Source organism: Homo sapiens, chromosome 19, assembly GCF_000001405.40.
Source record: "Homo sapiens chromosome 19, GRCh38.p14 Primary Assembly".
Classification (NCBI taxonomy): domain Eukaryota; kingdom Metazoa; phylum Chordata; class Mammalia; order Primates; family Hominidae; genus Homo; species Homo sapiens.
This window is the reverse complement of record NC_000019.10, coordinates 18,946,922-18,961,880: the sequence shown is the minus strand read 5'-3', so window position 1 is coordinate 18,961,880 and position 14,959 is coordinate 18,946,922. Positions and strand designations below refer to the sequence as shown.

General features: G+C 52.4%; 1 pseudogene; it reads left to right on the top strand.

The window, feature by feature from the left end:
* On the top strand, nt 3,623–3,924 carry RN7SL70P (RNA, 7SL, cytoplasmic 70, pseudogene; annotated as a pseudogene).

The window sequence follows — 14,959 nt, the reverse complement described above, 5'->3', positions numbered from 1 at the left end:
CCCGCTTCCACCTGATGGGGCAGCCTGGTCCTGCACTGCCCACCCAATAAAGATAGCCCCGCCCCATCAGGCGCATCCTGGACCCAAGTCCACTCCTCCCTATGGGCCGCTGTCTGGTCCCTAGCACCGGCTGACCTTTGCGCCCCGCCTTCTTTCTATACCGTGGATGCAGGAATAGCCTCGTCCCAAAACCTGCCCCTACATGTCCTTGCCGTGTGACCCCGGGAGTATCGTTTCACCTCTGAACCTCAGCTTTCCCCTCTCTACAGTGAGTGGGGGTCGAGCCCCCTCTGTGACTCGATTGATCCACTCCTAGCAGGCTGTTGGATCGACGATCTTTGAGGATGCAGGTTGAGCGCTCAGCATATCACCGGCGCTCAATAAATGGCCTTGTTTCTTCCGTTTGTCTGGAACAGGAGATGCAGAAATAGGCAGTAGTGGCTGGCCATGATGGCTCACACTTGTAATTCCAACACTTTGGGAGGCTGAGGCGGGTGGATCACCTGAGGTCAGGAGTTCGAGACCAGCCTGGCCAACATGGTGAAATCCCGTCTCTACTAAAAATACAAACATTAACAGGGCATGGTTGTGCACGCCTGTAATCCCACCTACTAGGGAGGCCAAGGCAGGAGAATCGCTTGAACTCAGGAGGCGGAGGTTGCAGTGAGCCGAGATGGCGCAACTGCACTCCAGCCTGGGCAACAGTGAGACTCTGTCTCAAAAAAAAAAAAAAAAAGAGCCGGGCGCTGTGGCTCACGCCTGTAATCCCAGCACTTTGGGAGGCCAAGGCGGGCGGATCACGAGGTCAGGAGATCAAGACCATCCTGGCTAACACGGTGAAACCCCGTCTCTACTAAAAATACAAAAACAAAATTAGCCCGGTGTGGTGGCGGGCGCCTGTAGCCCCAGCTACTCGGGAGGCTGAGGCAGGAGAATGGCGTGAACCCGGGAGGCGGAGCTTGCAGTGAGCCGAGATCGCGCCACTGCACTCCAGCTTGGGAGACAGAGCGAGACTCCGTCTCAAAAAAAAAAAAAAAAAAAAATTATGCGGGCATGGTGGTGCATGCCTGTAATCCCAGCTACTCAGGAGGCTGAGGCAGGAGAATCACTTGAACCTGGGAGGCAGAGGTTGCAGTAAGCCGAGATCATGCCATTGCACTCCAGCCTTGTTGACAGAGCGAGACTCCGTCTCAAAAAAAGAGAAAGAAAGAAAAAAAGAAATAGGCAGTAGTTGGAGAGGGCTGGCTGAGGAAGAAGCCAGCAGGTTGGGCAGGGGCAGAAGCCGGCCCTGAACCTCAGTTTTCTTATCTGTAAAAGGGACCTTCAGGCCAGGTACAGTGACTCATGCCTGTAATCCCAGTGGTTTGGGAGGCTGAGGTGGGAAGATAGCTTGAGGCTCCCCTCACTGGACAGCTAGACACACTTCCCTGCTGGACATTCTAAATTAAATTAGCCCCCTAAAAATGTAAGACACAGGCTGAAGGGTGGGGTCCCATCTCTACCTTGCCTTCACTGGCTGCAGGTCTGAGTGCTCATGGATTTTCTTTTTTTTTTTTTTTTTGAGACGGAGTCTTGCTCTGTTGCCCAGACTAGAGTGCAATGGCACGATCTCGGCTCACTGCAACCTCCACCTCCCGGGTTCAAGCGATTCTCCTACCTCAGCCTCCTACGTAGCTGGGATTTCAGGTACGTGCCACCACGCCCGACTAATTTTTTGTATCTTTAGTGGTGATGGGGTTTCACCATGTTGGCCAGGCTGGTCTCAAACCCCTGATCTCAGGATCCATCCACCTCGGCCTCACAAAGTGCTGGGATTACAGGCACGAGCCACCGCGCCCGGACGGTCATGGGTTTTCTTGTCATTGGTGGTGTTTTGAAACAGAGCCTCACTCTGTCACACAGGCTGGAGTGCAGAGGTTGATCACGGCTCACTGCAGCCTTGATCCCAGGCTCAAGTGATTCTCCCACCTTAGTCTCCCAAGTAGCTGGGACTATCGGTGTGCGCCACCACACCCAACTAATTTTTTTATTTTTAGTAGAGATGGGATTTCACTATGATGGCCAGTCTGGTCTCAAACTACCAGGCTCAAGCAATCTGCCCGCCTCAGCCTCCCAAAGTGCTGGGATTACAGGCGTGAGCCTCGGCACCTGGCCCAGACAGTCTTTTATTTATTTATTTTCCGAGACAGGGTCTCACTGTGTCACCCAGGCTGGAGTACAGTGGCACAATCATGGCTCACTGCAGCCTCTAATTCCTGGGCTCAAGCGATCCTCCCACATCAGCCTCCTAAGAAGCTTGGACCACAGGCATGCACCACCATGCCTGGCTAATTTTATTTTATTTTTTGTAGAGATGGGTTTTGCCATGTTGCCCCAGACTGGTCTCAATCTCCTGGGCTCAAGTGATCCCCTGGCCCCAGCCTCCCAAAGTACTGGGATTACAAGCATGAGCCACGGCACCCAGCCAAATTGGGATTTATAAAAACCTTTGTCAAGAGAGTGTAGGCTGGGCACGGTGGCTCACCCTTGTAATCCCAGCACCTTTGAGAGGCCGAGGCAGGTGGATCACTTGAGGTCAGGAGTTCAAGACCAGCCTGATCAACATGGTGAAACCCTGTTACTACTAAAAATACAAAAATTAGCAGGGCATGGTGGCGCATGTCTGTAGCCCCAGCTACTCATGGGGGCTGAGACAGGAGAATCACTTGAACCCAACAGGCAGAGGTTGCAGTGAGCCGAGATTGTGCCCTGCACTCTAGCCTGGGTGACGGAGTGAGAAACTGTCTCAAGAAATTTAAAAAAAGGAGAGTTTAAATGCTGGCCAAGGACCAAGGAAACCAATCAAGGGGCCTCAGGGTTCAAGCTTTATGTTTGGGGACAATCTTAGGCCATAGGATGGGGTGACCTCCCTGCCAGCCTTGTAGCCTACTCACTTGAGGCTCAGCGGTCCCTCCCTCAGACAGGGACCTCCATTCTGTCACCTACGATGACACCTTCTTTTCTTGTGGGATCCACTGTTTGGAAACGTGTGTAATCAATCCCAGCACTTTGGGAGGCCAAGGAGGTGGGCGAAATCACCTGAGGTCGGGAGTTCAAGACCAGCCTGGCCAACATGGTGAAACCCCGTCTCTACTAAAAATACAAAAATTAGTCGGACATGGTCGTGCGTGCCTGTAGTCCCAGCTACTCATAAGGCAGAGGCGAGAGAATCGCTTGAACCTGGGAGACGGAGGTTGCAGTAAACCAAGATTGTGCCATTGCACTCCAGCCTAGATGACAGAGTGAGACTCTGTCTCAAAAAAACAAAAACAAAAACAAAAACTTTTTTTTGGTAGAGACAGGATCTTGCTGTGTTGCCCAGGCTGGTCTCGAACTCCTGGACTCAAGCGATCCTCCATCCTGGGCCTCCCAAAGTGCTGGGATTATAGGCACGAGGCGCCATGCCTGGTTTATGGCTTCTGATTTTAATCTACATCTTGCAAAGCAAATATCTCTAACATTCATTTGCAAATGTCAGACATTCAGAGAAATGGACACACTCACCCATCACTGCTGGGAGCCAAGTAAGGTCCCCTGTATGGAAGGTGATGTGGTCTTAAGTATTCATCAAAAATGCTGAAAAGCTGGGTTCAGGGATGAATGCCTGTAGTCCCAGCTACTCAGGAGACTGAGGTGGAAGAATCACTTGAATCCGGGAGTTCTGGGCTGTAGTGCACTATGCCAATTGGGTGACTACAGTAAGTTTGGTGTCAATATGGTGACCTCCCAGGGAGCGGGAGACCACCACCAGGTTGCCTAAGGAGAGGTGAACCGGCCCAGGTTGGAAACTGAGTAGGTAAAATTCTTGTGCTGATCAGTAGTGGGATCACACCTGTGAATAGCCACTGCACTCCAGACGGGCAACATACTGAGACCCCTGTCTCAAAAAAAAAAAAAAAAAGGAAAAGGAGAAGGAGAAAACTTGAAAACGTGTGTTTGGCTGGGCTCGGTGGCTCATGCCTGTAAACTCAACACTTTGGGAGGCCGAGGCCGGTGATCACTTGAGGTCAGGAATTTGAGACCAGCCTGGCCAACATGGTAAAACCCCATCTCTACTAAAAACACAAAACTTAGCCGGCCGTGGTGGTGGGTGCCTGTAGTCCCAGCTACTTGGGAGGCTGAGGCAGGAGAATCACTTGAACCCAGGAAGTGGAGGTTGCAGTGAGCCGAGATTGCGCCACTGTACTCCATCCTGGGCGACAGAGTGAGACTGTCTCAGAAAAAAAAAAAAAAAAAAGAAAATGTGTTATTCTATTTGTTAGGCTGTCCCCAGAGAGTGACCTAGATGTCCAACCATAGGAGATCTGTTTAACAAACCATAGAAAAGCTTCAAGGTGAGTGATGCTGAAGTCTCTGAACTCAAGAATGTACACTGGAATTTGGCCTTGACTGACAAATCATGTGTATAGTGTAATTCCATTTGGGCTAAGAAAAAAAAGAAAGAAAGAAAAAAAATCTAGATGGAAATAGACCATCGTGTTAGTAACAGTTATTTCTGGGCATTGATTTTATTTTTAAAATTTTGTTCACTCAACAGATATTTACAGAGCACCTGGTCCGTGTCAGCTAGGGCCAAGGGCAAGGATGGCATCTGAATTTGTTTACTTAGTTTGTTTCCTGTGCCAGCATTTTAAAATTTACCAATAAGCACCAGGCATAAAGTAAATAGGTATTAAAAATTCAGAAAGGAAATTAAACGCTATGACAAGGGACCTATTTAGATTATTTACGTTACACGTGTCTGTGCTTTCTAAAACTGTTTTTACAATGAGCATACATTATTTGGAGAATCAGAAAAGAGGCCGGCACGGTGGCTCATGCCTGTAATCCCAGCACTTTAGAAGACTGAGGCGGACAGATCATTTGAGGTCAGGAGTTCGAGACCAGCCTCGCCAACATAGTGAAACCCCGTCTCTACTAAAAAATACAAAAATTGGCTGGGTGTGGTGGCTCACGCCTGTAATCCCAGCACTTTGGAAGGCCGAGGTGGGCAGAAAATGAGGTCAGGAGTTCAAGACCAGCCTGACCAACATGGTGAAACCCCGTCTCTACTAAAAATACATAAAAAAAAAAAAATAGCTGGGCATAGTAGTGAGTGCCTGTAATCCCAGCTACTGGGGAGGCTGAGGTAGGAGAAACGCTTGAACCCAGGAAGCAGAGGTTGCAGTGAGCCAAGATCATGCCACTGCACTCCAGCTCTGCGACAGAGCAAGACCCTGTCTCAAAAAAAAAAAAAAAAATTAGTTGGGCGTGATGGCGCGTGCCTGTAATCCCAGCTACTCGGGAGGCTGAGGCAGGAGAATTGCTTGAACCTGAGAGGCGGAGGTTGCAATGAGCCGAGGTCATCCCATTGCATTCCAGCCTGGGTGACAGAGTGAGACTTCATCTCAAAAAAAAAAAAAAAGGAAGAAAAGAAAAAGAAAATATGGAACTCTGAATCCATTAGGAAACATACACCTATGTCCCACACCCCTCCCATCCCCCCACCAGTGCCATCCACCTTTTTTTTTTTTTTTTTTTTTTTTTGAGATAGGGTTTCACTCTGTCATCCAGACTGGAATACAGAGGCGCCATCACGGCTCACTGCAGCCACGACCTCCTAGGCTCAAGCCATCCTCCCACTTCAACCTCCCGAGTAGCTGGGACCACTGGTGTACACTATCATGCCCAGCTAATCTTTTTATATTTTGTAGATATGGGGTCTCGCTATGTTGGCAGGCTGGTCTCAAGCTCCTGGCCCCAAATGATCCTTCTGCCTCAGCCTCCAAAAGTGTTGGGATTATAGGCATAAGCCACTGCGCCTGGCCCCATCCACCTTCTCAACCTCCCTTCCTGTTCTCCTCACCCCAGCTCCTCCTGGCCCCTCCCCTGGAGTGGAGCTGATACATCCCAGCTGATGGGGCCTGATGTGGGCCTCAACTCCTTGTAAATGTGCAATTAACATGAGACAGATTGATTTCCAAATGGGAAAACTGAGGCTCAGAGAGGTAAACTGACCTCTTCAGTGTCACACAGTGCACATGTGACAAAGTGGAGCACAAACCCAGATATATCTGTCGCTGGAGCTCTTGCTGACCCCAGAGTGGCCTCAGGCCAAGCCTGAATTCCTTCCCCGGGCCTTTTTATTGGGCTTAAATCACAGGGGCTTTATTATTGGTGGGTGGGGTGGTATCCCCCCTGACCTGGAGGCCTGATGCCTCAATGGCCCACAGGCAGAAATTGCTGGTCTTCTCCTCGGCGCCCCCTCACACTGGTGCTGCTGGGCCCCCAAGAAACCTCGGCCTCAGGCCTTGCTCTCGAGCAGCCTCCAGTCTGAAAGCTGAGCCAGGTGCATTCACTCTTCGCTCCATGGGTTGGGCCTGGGTGAGAGGAAGGGACAGGGAGGGTCTGGGCCACACCAAGGGCTGCAAGGAGGAAGGCACATGGAGTTGGGGCTTGAAGAATGAGTAGAAGTATGAGAAGTGGAAGTAGAGTTGGGTGGATCATGGATGATGCCTGCATATGAGGGTGGATGGATGGAAGCATGGATGGATGGGATAGGAATGGGGGATTGGTGAATGGTGGGATGGATGGGGATGGATGGGGGATGGAAGATAAATGACTGGATGGGTGACTGGGCAGATGGATGGGCAGATGGATGGATAAATAATGGATCGATGAATGGATGAATATATGGGAAGATGAGTGTACACACGGTTGGATGGTTGGATGGATGGGTGTATAGATAGATAAATGAATAGTAAATGGATGAATGGATAGTTGGATGGATGGGAAGATGGCTGGGTGAATGGATGGATGGATAGATGGATGGATGGGTGGATGGGTGGATGGATGGATGGATGGGTGGGTGGATGGGTGGATGGATGGGCAGATGGATAGGTGTATGGATGGATGGATGGGTGGGTGGATGGATGGATGAATGGATGGATGGATGGATGGATGGATGGATGGATGAATGGGTGGATGGATAGATGATTGGATGGTTGGATGGTTGGGGAGATGGATGGGTGTATGCATGGATGGATGGGCGGGTGGATGGATGGATGGGTGGATGGGTGGATGGATGGATGGGTGGATGGGTGGATGGATGGATGGATGGTTGGGAAGGTGGATGGGTGTATGGATGGCTGGATGGGTGGGTGGATGGGTGGATGGATGGGCAGATGGATAGGTGTATGGATGGATGGATGGGTGGGTGGATGGATGGATGGGTGGATGGGTGGATGGGTGGGTGGATGGATGGTTGGATGGATGGGAAGATGGATAGGTGAATGGATGGATGGGTAGGTGGATATGTGGATGGATGGGTAAATGGGTGGATGGATGGATGGTTGGATGGATGGGAAGATGGATGGGTGTATGGATGGATGGATGGGTGGGTGGATGAGTGGATGGATGGGCAGATGAATAGGTGTATGGATGGATGGATGGGTGGGTGGATGGATGGATGGATGGATGAATGGAAGAATGGGTGGACGGATAGATGGTTGGATGGATGGGAAGATGGATAGGTGTATGGATGGATGGATGGCTGGGTGGGTGGGTGGATGGATGGATGGATGGATGGATGGACGGACAGGCAGATGGGTGGGTGGATGGATGGATGGATGGATGGATGGATGGATGGATGGGCGAATGAGTGGATGGGTGGGTGGATGGGTGGGTGGATGGATGGATAGGCATTGAGTGGGTGCATGAACATGTGAGGAAGTGGAAAGGTGTAGCTTGAGCCCCAACACTCTCTAAGCACCCCGCCTACCCTTCGAAGAGCCCAGTGTAGACTGTCACACTGGTAGTGGCCCTAGTGCGCCTGTGCCTTGCATCCCTGTATCCAACCTGGTCTCCCCAGGTGCCTTTTCAAGGGCCAGCCCCTCCTCCCACAGGACTCCAGACAGCTGCCTTCGAGCCAGGTCCAGATGCTGCTCAACACCCACCCTGGGCCCTGTGACTGCTAGAAGGTGGAGGGCTCTGGCAGATGTGAGTTGGAGGTCACTGGCCAGTTACACAATGTCTGTTTTGCATGTGGGCATGGCTGTGGTGTCCCAGATGGACTCTGAGTGGCCCCCCAGGAGAGGGTCTCATCTAGAAGCGAGAGGCCAGCCCCCAAGCAACTGCTCTCCAAGTCTGTATGTCTATGTTTCTTTCTGTTTCTCACTCTCCTGACCTGTTAACAGCCAACTCCTGAGCACCTACCACCTGGAAGGGCCCTGCAGGAACCCCTCAGCTACTGGTCATGACCTCCCTGGATGGTACCCCCCAGAACAGTGGGGTTACCACCAAGGGCTTGGCCCAGCCACCAGCAGCTATATCCCTCCTGGGTCCCAGGATAGATGCCAAAGCCTGAGGGACCCCAAGGTGTTAGGGGGGACCCCAAGATGTGGGTGTACTGACACCCTTCCCCAGACTCTGGTCCCCATTGACTTTGGGATTTGTTTCTTTGTTGTTTTTCTTTTTTTTTTTCTTTGTTGTTTTTCAAGACAGGTCTCGCTCTGTCCCCCACGCTAGAGTGCAGCGGTGCAATTTGAGCTCACTGCAGCCTTGACCTCCTGGGCTCAAGCAGTTGTCCTGTTTCAGCCTCCCCAGTAGTTAGGACTACAGATGTGTGCCACCACGCCCGGCTAATTTTTGTTTGTGTGTTTTTATTTTTCTGAGGTGGAGTCTCACTCTGTCACCCAGGCTGGAGTGCAGTGGCGTGATCTTGGCTCACTGAAACCTCCGCCTCCCAGGTTCAAGCGATTCTCTTGACTCAGCCTCCTGAGTAGCTGGGATTACAGGTGTGTGCCACAATGCCCGGCTAATTTTTTTTTTTTGTATTTTTAGTAGAGATAGGGTTTCACCATGTTGTCCAGGCTTGTCTCAAACTCCTGACCTCAAATGATCCACCCACCTCGGCCTCCCAAAGTGCTGGGATTAGAGGAGTGAGCCACCGCACCTGGCCAGTGTCTCCCCTGTTGATGCAGTCAGCGCCCAACGTGTGACCCTTTCTCTTTGTTTCAGCGATCCTCCTTCCCTGTGACCTCCGTCCGGGCTGGAAGATCCTTGAACTCCGGAAAGCAGATGTTTCCCTGCTGTTGGAGGCCTGAGATTTCAGCGATAAGACCCGGAGGCCAGCATCCAGGACCTCGTGAGAGACAGAGGAAGATGGGAAAGGGTTTATGAAGACAAGTTTCCTCCCTCAGGCCCTGGGATTACAGGTGTGAGCCACTGTGCCTGGCTGCAAATCTTTTTTTTTTTTTTTTTTTTTGAGACAGTCTTGCTATTTCCCAGACTGTTGTGCAATGCTGCCATCTCGGCTCACTGCAACCTCCACCTCCCAGGTTCAAGCGATTTTCCTGCCTCAGCCTCCCGAATAGCTGGGACCACAGGCATGCACCATCACACCTGGCTAATTTTTGTATTTTTAGTAGAGATAGGGTTTCACCACGTTGGCCAGGCTGGTCTCGAACTCCTGGACTCAAGTGATCCTCCTGCCTCGGCCTCCCAAAGTGCTGGGATTACAGACATGAGCCATCGCACCCGGCTGCAAATATTTAAACACAAAAGAAGATCACAACTGGGTATAGTGGCGCACACCTGTAGTCCCAGCTACCTGGGAGGCTGAGGTGGGAGGATCATCTGAGACCAGGAGGTCGAAGCTGCAGTGAGCCATGATCACGCCACTGCACTTCAGCCTGGGTGAAAGCGTGAGACCTTGTCTAAAAAAAAAAAAAAAAAAAGCAGATCATGCCCTCTCCTGCTCAAAAGCCTTATGTGGCTCCCCAGTGCTCTAAGTATAAAGTCTGCATTCCTTCCTGGGGACCCACAGGTCCCTGATGCCCAGCCTGTAGCCCTCCCTGCCTACATGGTGCCCTCCCCACTCTGCCCAACTCACTTTGCTTCAGTCACAGCCGCCTCCTCAATGCTGTCCCAAGGGGCTGAACACATCCCTGCCTCAGGGCCTTTGGGCGTGCTATTGCCCTGAATCACCACCTCCACAAAGTAGCCTTCAGCAACCACTGCAGTCTTGACCTGGTGCTTTGCCTGGTTTTCTTTCTTTTGCAAAATCCTGTCAGAAGTCATTTCCTCGTTCCCTTGTCTACCAGACATGAGGTCCCTGAGGGCAGGGTGTCCTAACAGACCTGGATGCCTTAAGTGCTTAATAAACATGAGTTAATGATGAATAATCCTTGCTTTACAGAGGAGGAAACAGAGGCTCAGGGAGGAAGGGCTGTTGGACCCCTTGAGTTTGAGCCCAGGCTGCACCAAATCCACCTGCAGGTGGATGAGCAAACCCCCCAACCTGCTCCCTGGGTAAGCAAAGCTCCAGAGGTTGCAAGGAGCAGACTTGGCCTCTCAGACTGGGGTTCCAGGACCAGCCTTTCCTCTCTGCTGACTTTTTGTTGTTGTTGTTTTGAGACAAAGTCTCACTCTGTCGTCCAGGCTGGAGTGGAGTGGTGTGATCTGGGCTCACTGCAACCTCTGACTCCTGGGTTCAAGCAATTCTCCCACCTCAGCCTCCTGAGTAGCTGGGGTTACAGGTGCACACCACCATGCCCGGGTTACTTTTTGTGTTTTTACTAGAGGCAGGTTTTTGCCATGTTGGCCAGGCCGGTCTCGAATTCCTGACCTCAAGTGATCTGCCTGGTTTGGCCTCCCAAAGTGCTGGGATTACAGGAATGAGCCACCACCTCCAGCCTCCTGGTGACTTTTTTTTTTTTTTTTTTGAGACAGAGTCTCGCTCTGTTGCCCAGGCTGGAGTGCAGTGGCGTGATCTCGGCTCACTGCAAGCTCCACCTCCCAGGTTCACGCCATTCTCCTGCCTCAGCTTCCCAAGTAGCTGGGACTACAGGCGCCTGCCACCACGCTCGGCTAATTTTTTGTATTTTTAGTAGAAACGGGGTTTCATCGTGTTAGTCAGGATGGCCTCGATCTCCTGACCTCGTGATCCACCCGCCTCGGCTTCCCAAAGTGCTGAGATTACAGGCGTGAGCCGCCATGCCCGGCCTTTTTTTTTTTTTTTTTAAGATGAAGTCTCACTCGGTCACCCAAGCTGGAGTGCAATGGCGTGATCTTGGCTCACTGCAACCTCTGCCTCCCGGGTTCAAGGGTTCAAGTGATTATCCTGCCGCAGCCTCCCGAGTAGCTGGGACTACAGGCGTGTGCCACCACACTGAGCTAATTTTTGTATTTTTAGTATAGACAGGGTTTCACCATGTTGGTCAGGCTGGTCTTGAACTCCTGATCTCAGGTGATTCACCCACCTCGGCCTCCCAAAGTGCTGGGAGTATAGGCATGAGCTACCATGCCTGGTTATTTTTTTCTTTTTCTTTTTTTTTTTTTTTTTTGAGACGGAGTCTTGCTCTGTCACCCAGGCTGGAGTGCAGTGGCACGATCTCGGCTCACTGCAAGCTCCACCTCTCGGGTTCACATCATTCTCCTGCCTCAGCCTCCCCAGTAGCTGGGGCTACAGGCGCCTGTCACCATGCCTGGCTAATTTTTTGTATTTTTAGTAGAGACGGGGTTTCACCGTGTTAGCCAGGATGGTCTTTATCTCCTGACCTTGTGATCTGCCCACCTCGGCCTCCCAAAGTGCTGGGATTACAGGTATGAGCCACCATGGCCGGCCCATTTTTTTGTATTTTTGTAGAGATGGGGTTTCACCATGTTGGCCAGGCTGGTCTTGAACTCCTGACCTCAGGTGAGCAGCCTGCCTCCGCCTCCCAAAGAGCTGGGATTACAGGCATGAGCTACCACCTCCAGCCTTCTGCTGACTTTTACTTTGGGGAACTGACAAGCTCCCTGAGCCTCAGTTTTCTCTTCTATGAAATGGGTTAGCTAGGTGCAGTGGCTTATGCCTGTAATCTCCGCACTGTGGGAGGCTAAGGCAGGAGGATTGCTTGAGCCCAGGAGTTAGAGAGCAGCTTGGACAACATAGGAAGACCCCATCTCTACAAAATATTAAAAAATTAGCCAGGCTTGGTGGCTCACACCTCTAATCCCAGTGACTCGGGAGGCTGAGGCAGGAGAATCGCTTGAGCCCAAGAGGCTGAGGCTGCAGTGAGCTGAGATCGCACCACTGCACTCCAGCCTGGGCGGCAGAGTTAGACCTTGTCTCTCAAAAAATAAAAATTAATGCCGGGCGTGGTGGCTCATGCCTGTAATCTCAGCACTTTGGAAGGCCGAGGCGGGCGGATCACGAGGTCAGGAAATCGAGACCATTGTGGCTAACACAGTGAAACCCCGTCTCTACTAAAAATACAAAAAAAATTTAGCCGGGTGTGGTGGCACGTGCCTGTAGTCCCAGCTACTCAGGAGGCGGAGGCACGAGAATTGCTTGAACCTGTCAGATGGAGGTTGCAGTGAGCCGAGATCGCGCCACTGCACTCCAGCCTGGGTGGCAGAGTGAGACTCTGTCTCAAAAAAAATAAATAAATAAAAATAAATAAATACATAAATAATTTGGTTACATGTCAGGCCCATGGGGTCCAGACTTGGACCTTGCCTTCCTCCCCCAGAGCCCCTGCTGTGCACTCCTATACTGGATAACAGTGGAGCCCCTGAGAGGCCTGGGTCCTGGGCCTGGACTCCAGTTAGCCCCCAGTCTGGGAGGGAGGCAGGGCCAGACACAGACGCATCCTCGTCCTGGGGGTCAGGATTGTCAGAGTTGTGGGGAGGGCTGGAAGGCTTCCTGGAGGAGATGGCCTTAGAGCTGGCATTTCAGGCCATACGTGGGACCCAGTACAAGTGCTCTGAAGTGGGGCTGAGCAGCTTGACCAATGGGCAATGAGGAGCTTGAGCCTCTCTCTGAGGTGTCCAGGAGAGCCACGGAAGATGCTGGAGCAAGGAGGTGGGCAGCATCGCCAGTTAGAGGGGTCCCTTGGTGTGTGTTGGTGGGGGGGATCCTAGAGGGCATAGCCAGGGCACAGGTGGCCAAACCAGAGACCCCGGCCTGTGCCTGGGGACTAGGAATACTCTCCCTCTGGCAGACCCAGGGAAGAGGCTGTAGCATGTGAGTCACCTGGCTGCTGTGAGAACATTCGGCGCGCGGCAGCCCCACGTGGGCTGTCACCAAGCAGGAACACGGCCCCCAGAGGCCCTCTGAGCTGCCTTCCCCACGGGCTTCTGCTCTCTGTTCCCACAGCTGCTCCCCCAAGGCCACAGAAGGAGCGTGGGATGGGGGGACAGGCGGGGAGGAGGCCGTGTAGGCTGCACAGCCAGCATTTGGGAGCTCCAGGGTAGAGTGGGGCTTCCCCGGCAGAGGGCTCACTGTGTTCTGGGGCTGCCCTAGTCTCAGGACTCTGCTCAGGGTGGGGAAACTGAGGCTCAGAGAATGGTAGGGTCTGCGACCATTCTGCACATGGACAGACACCTCGTTCTTTCCTAAGAGCTGAAACCCTGCCCAGGGCCTGCAGTGTCAATGTGACCACTCCCTCTCTCTCTGGCTCCAAACTCCCCATGGCTCCCCAGTGCCTTCAGAATGAAACCCACACAACTCACCAAGACCCACAAGGCTCTGCTCAGTTCCTGTGACCCCCTAGGTCTCAGCAGTCCCATAAGCTTTTCTCCCACTTACTCCACTCTAGACACCTGTCTAATGTACCAGCAACATGTCCTGCCTGGCCCCACCTCAGGGCCTTTGCCCATGCTCCGACCCCCAGTGCCTAAAGCACCCTTTTTAAATTACACCTGTTTCATCCCTCAGGAAAGGTGCAAAGAGTTCATGAAAGGTTATATGCCCAGGAACACACAGCAAGCTGGTGGGACTTGGGATATGAAACCAGGCCCATCTGACTACCCCCACTCCCACCCCCTGGCAGCCCCTTTCCCGGCCATGGTATCACATCAAAAACAGACCTGGGCCGGGCGTGGTGTCTCACGCCTGTAATCCCAGCAATTTGGGAGGCCCAGGCAGGCGGATCACTTGAAGTTAGGTGTTCAAGACCAGCCTGGCCAACATGGTGAAACTCCATCTCTACTAAAAATGAAAAAATTAGTTGGGTGTGGCGGCACGCACCTGTAGTCCCAGCTACTCGGGAGGCTGAGGCAGCAGAATTGCTTGAACCTGAGAGGGGGAGATTGCAGTGAGCCGAGATTGTGCCACTGCACTCTGGCCTGGATGACAGCGAGACTCTGTCTCAAAACAAAACAAAAAGACTTCAAACCAATCCACCATGGAGCTGGCTGATTCTCAACCCCTCCAGATTTTTTTTTTTTTTTTTTTTTGAGACAAGAGTCTCGCTCTCCCGCCCAGGCTAGAGTACAGTGGCGCGATCTCGGCTCACTGCAACCTCTGCCTCCCAAGTTCAAGCGATTCTCTTGCCTCAGCCTCCTGAGTAGCTGGGACTACAGGAATGCACCACCACGCCCGGCTAATTTTTTATATTTTTAATAGAGACAGGGTTTCACCACATTGGCCAGGCTGGTGTTGAACTCCTGACCTCGTGATCCACCTGCCTCAGCCTCCCAAAGTGCTGGGATTACAGGTGTGAGCCATCGTGCCTGGCCATGCCCCTCCAGATCTTGCCACCTCTGGCTAGGTGCCAAAGACTCTCAGGCCTTGGGCCCAAGGCCCCCTGTTCAGGGAGCTCCAAGGCCAGCCGACCCCCAATTCCCGCAGTGCCTCCCCTGATGTGGCCTCAATTTCTCCGCCCCACTTTCTGCCCTTCAAGCGCTGCTGATGGCGGAGGCTTCAAGGACGCCACAGCCAAAAATAATCGGGCCCCGACCTACCTCCGGAAATTGGGGCAGCCCCGCCCAGCCACCTGGCACCCAGGAGGTAATTAGTGCATGTGGCAAATTAGGGTAATTAGGTCTGCGGGAACTGAACCTCGGGTCCAGGTTTGCTGCTCAGAGGGGCCTCAAGCACTGCCTCCTCCCATCCCCAACTCACTCTGGTCCTAGGTCCTCAAATCCATAAACCAGTGCTGGCGACCCCAACTCC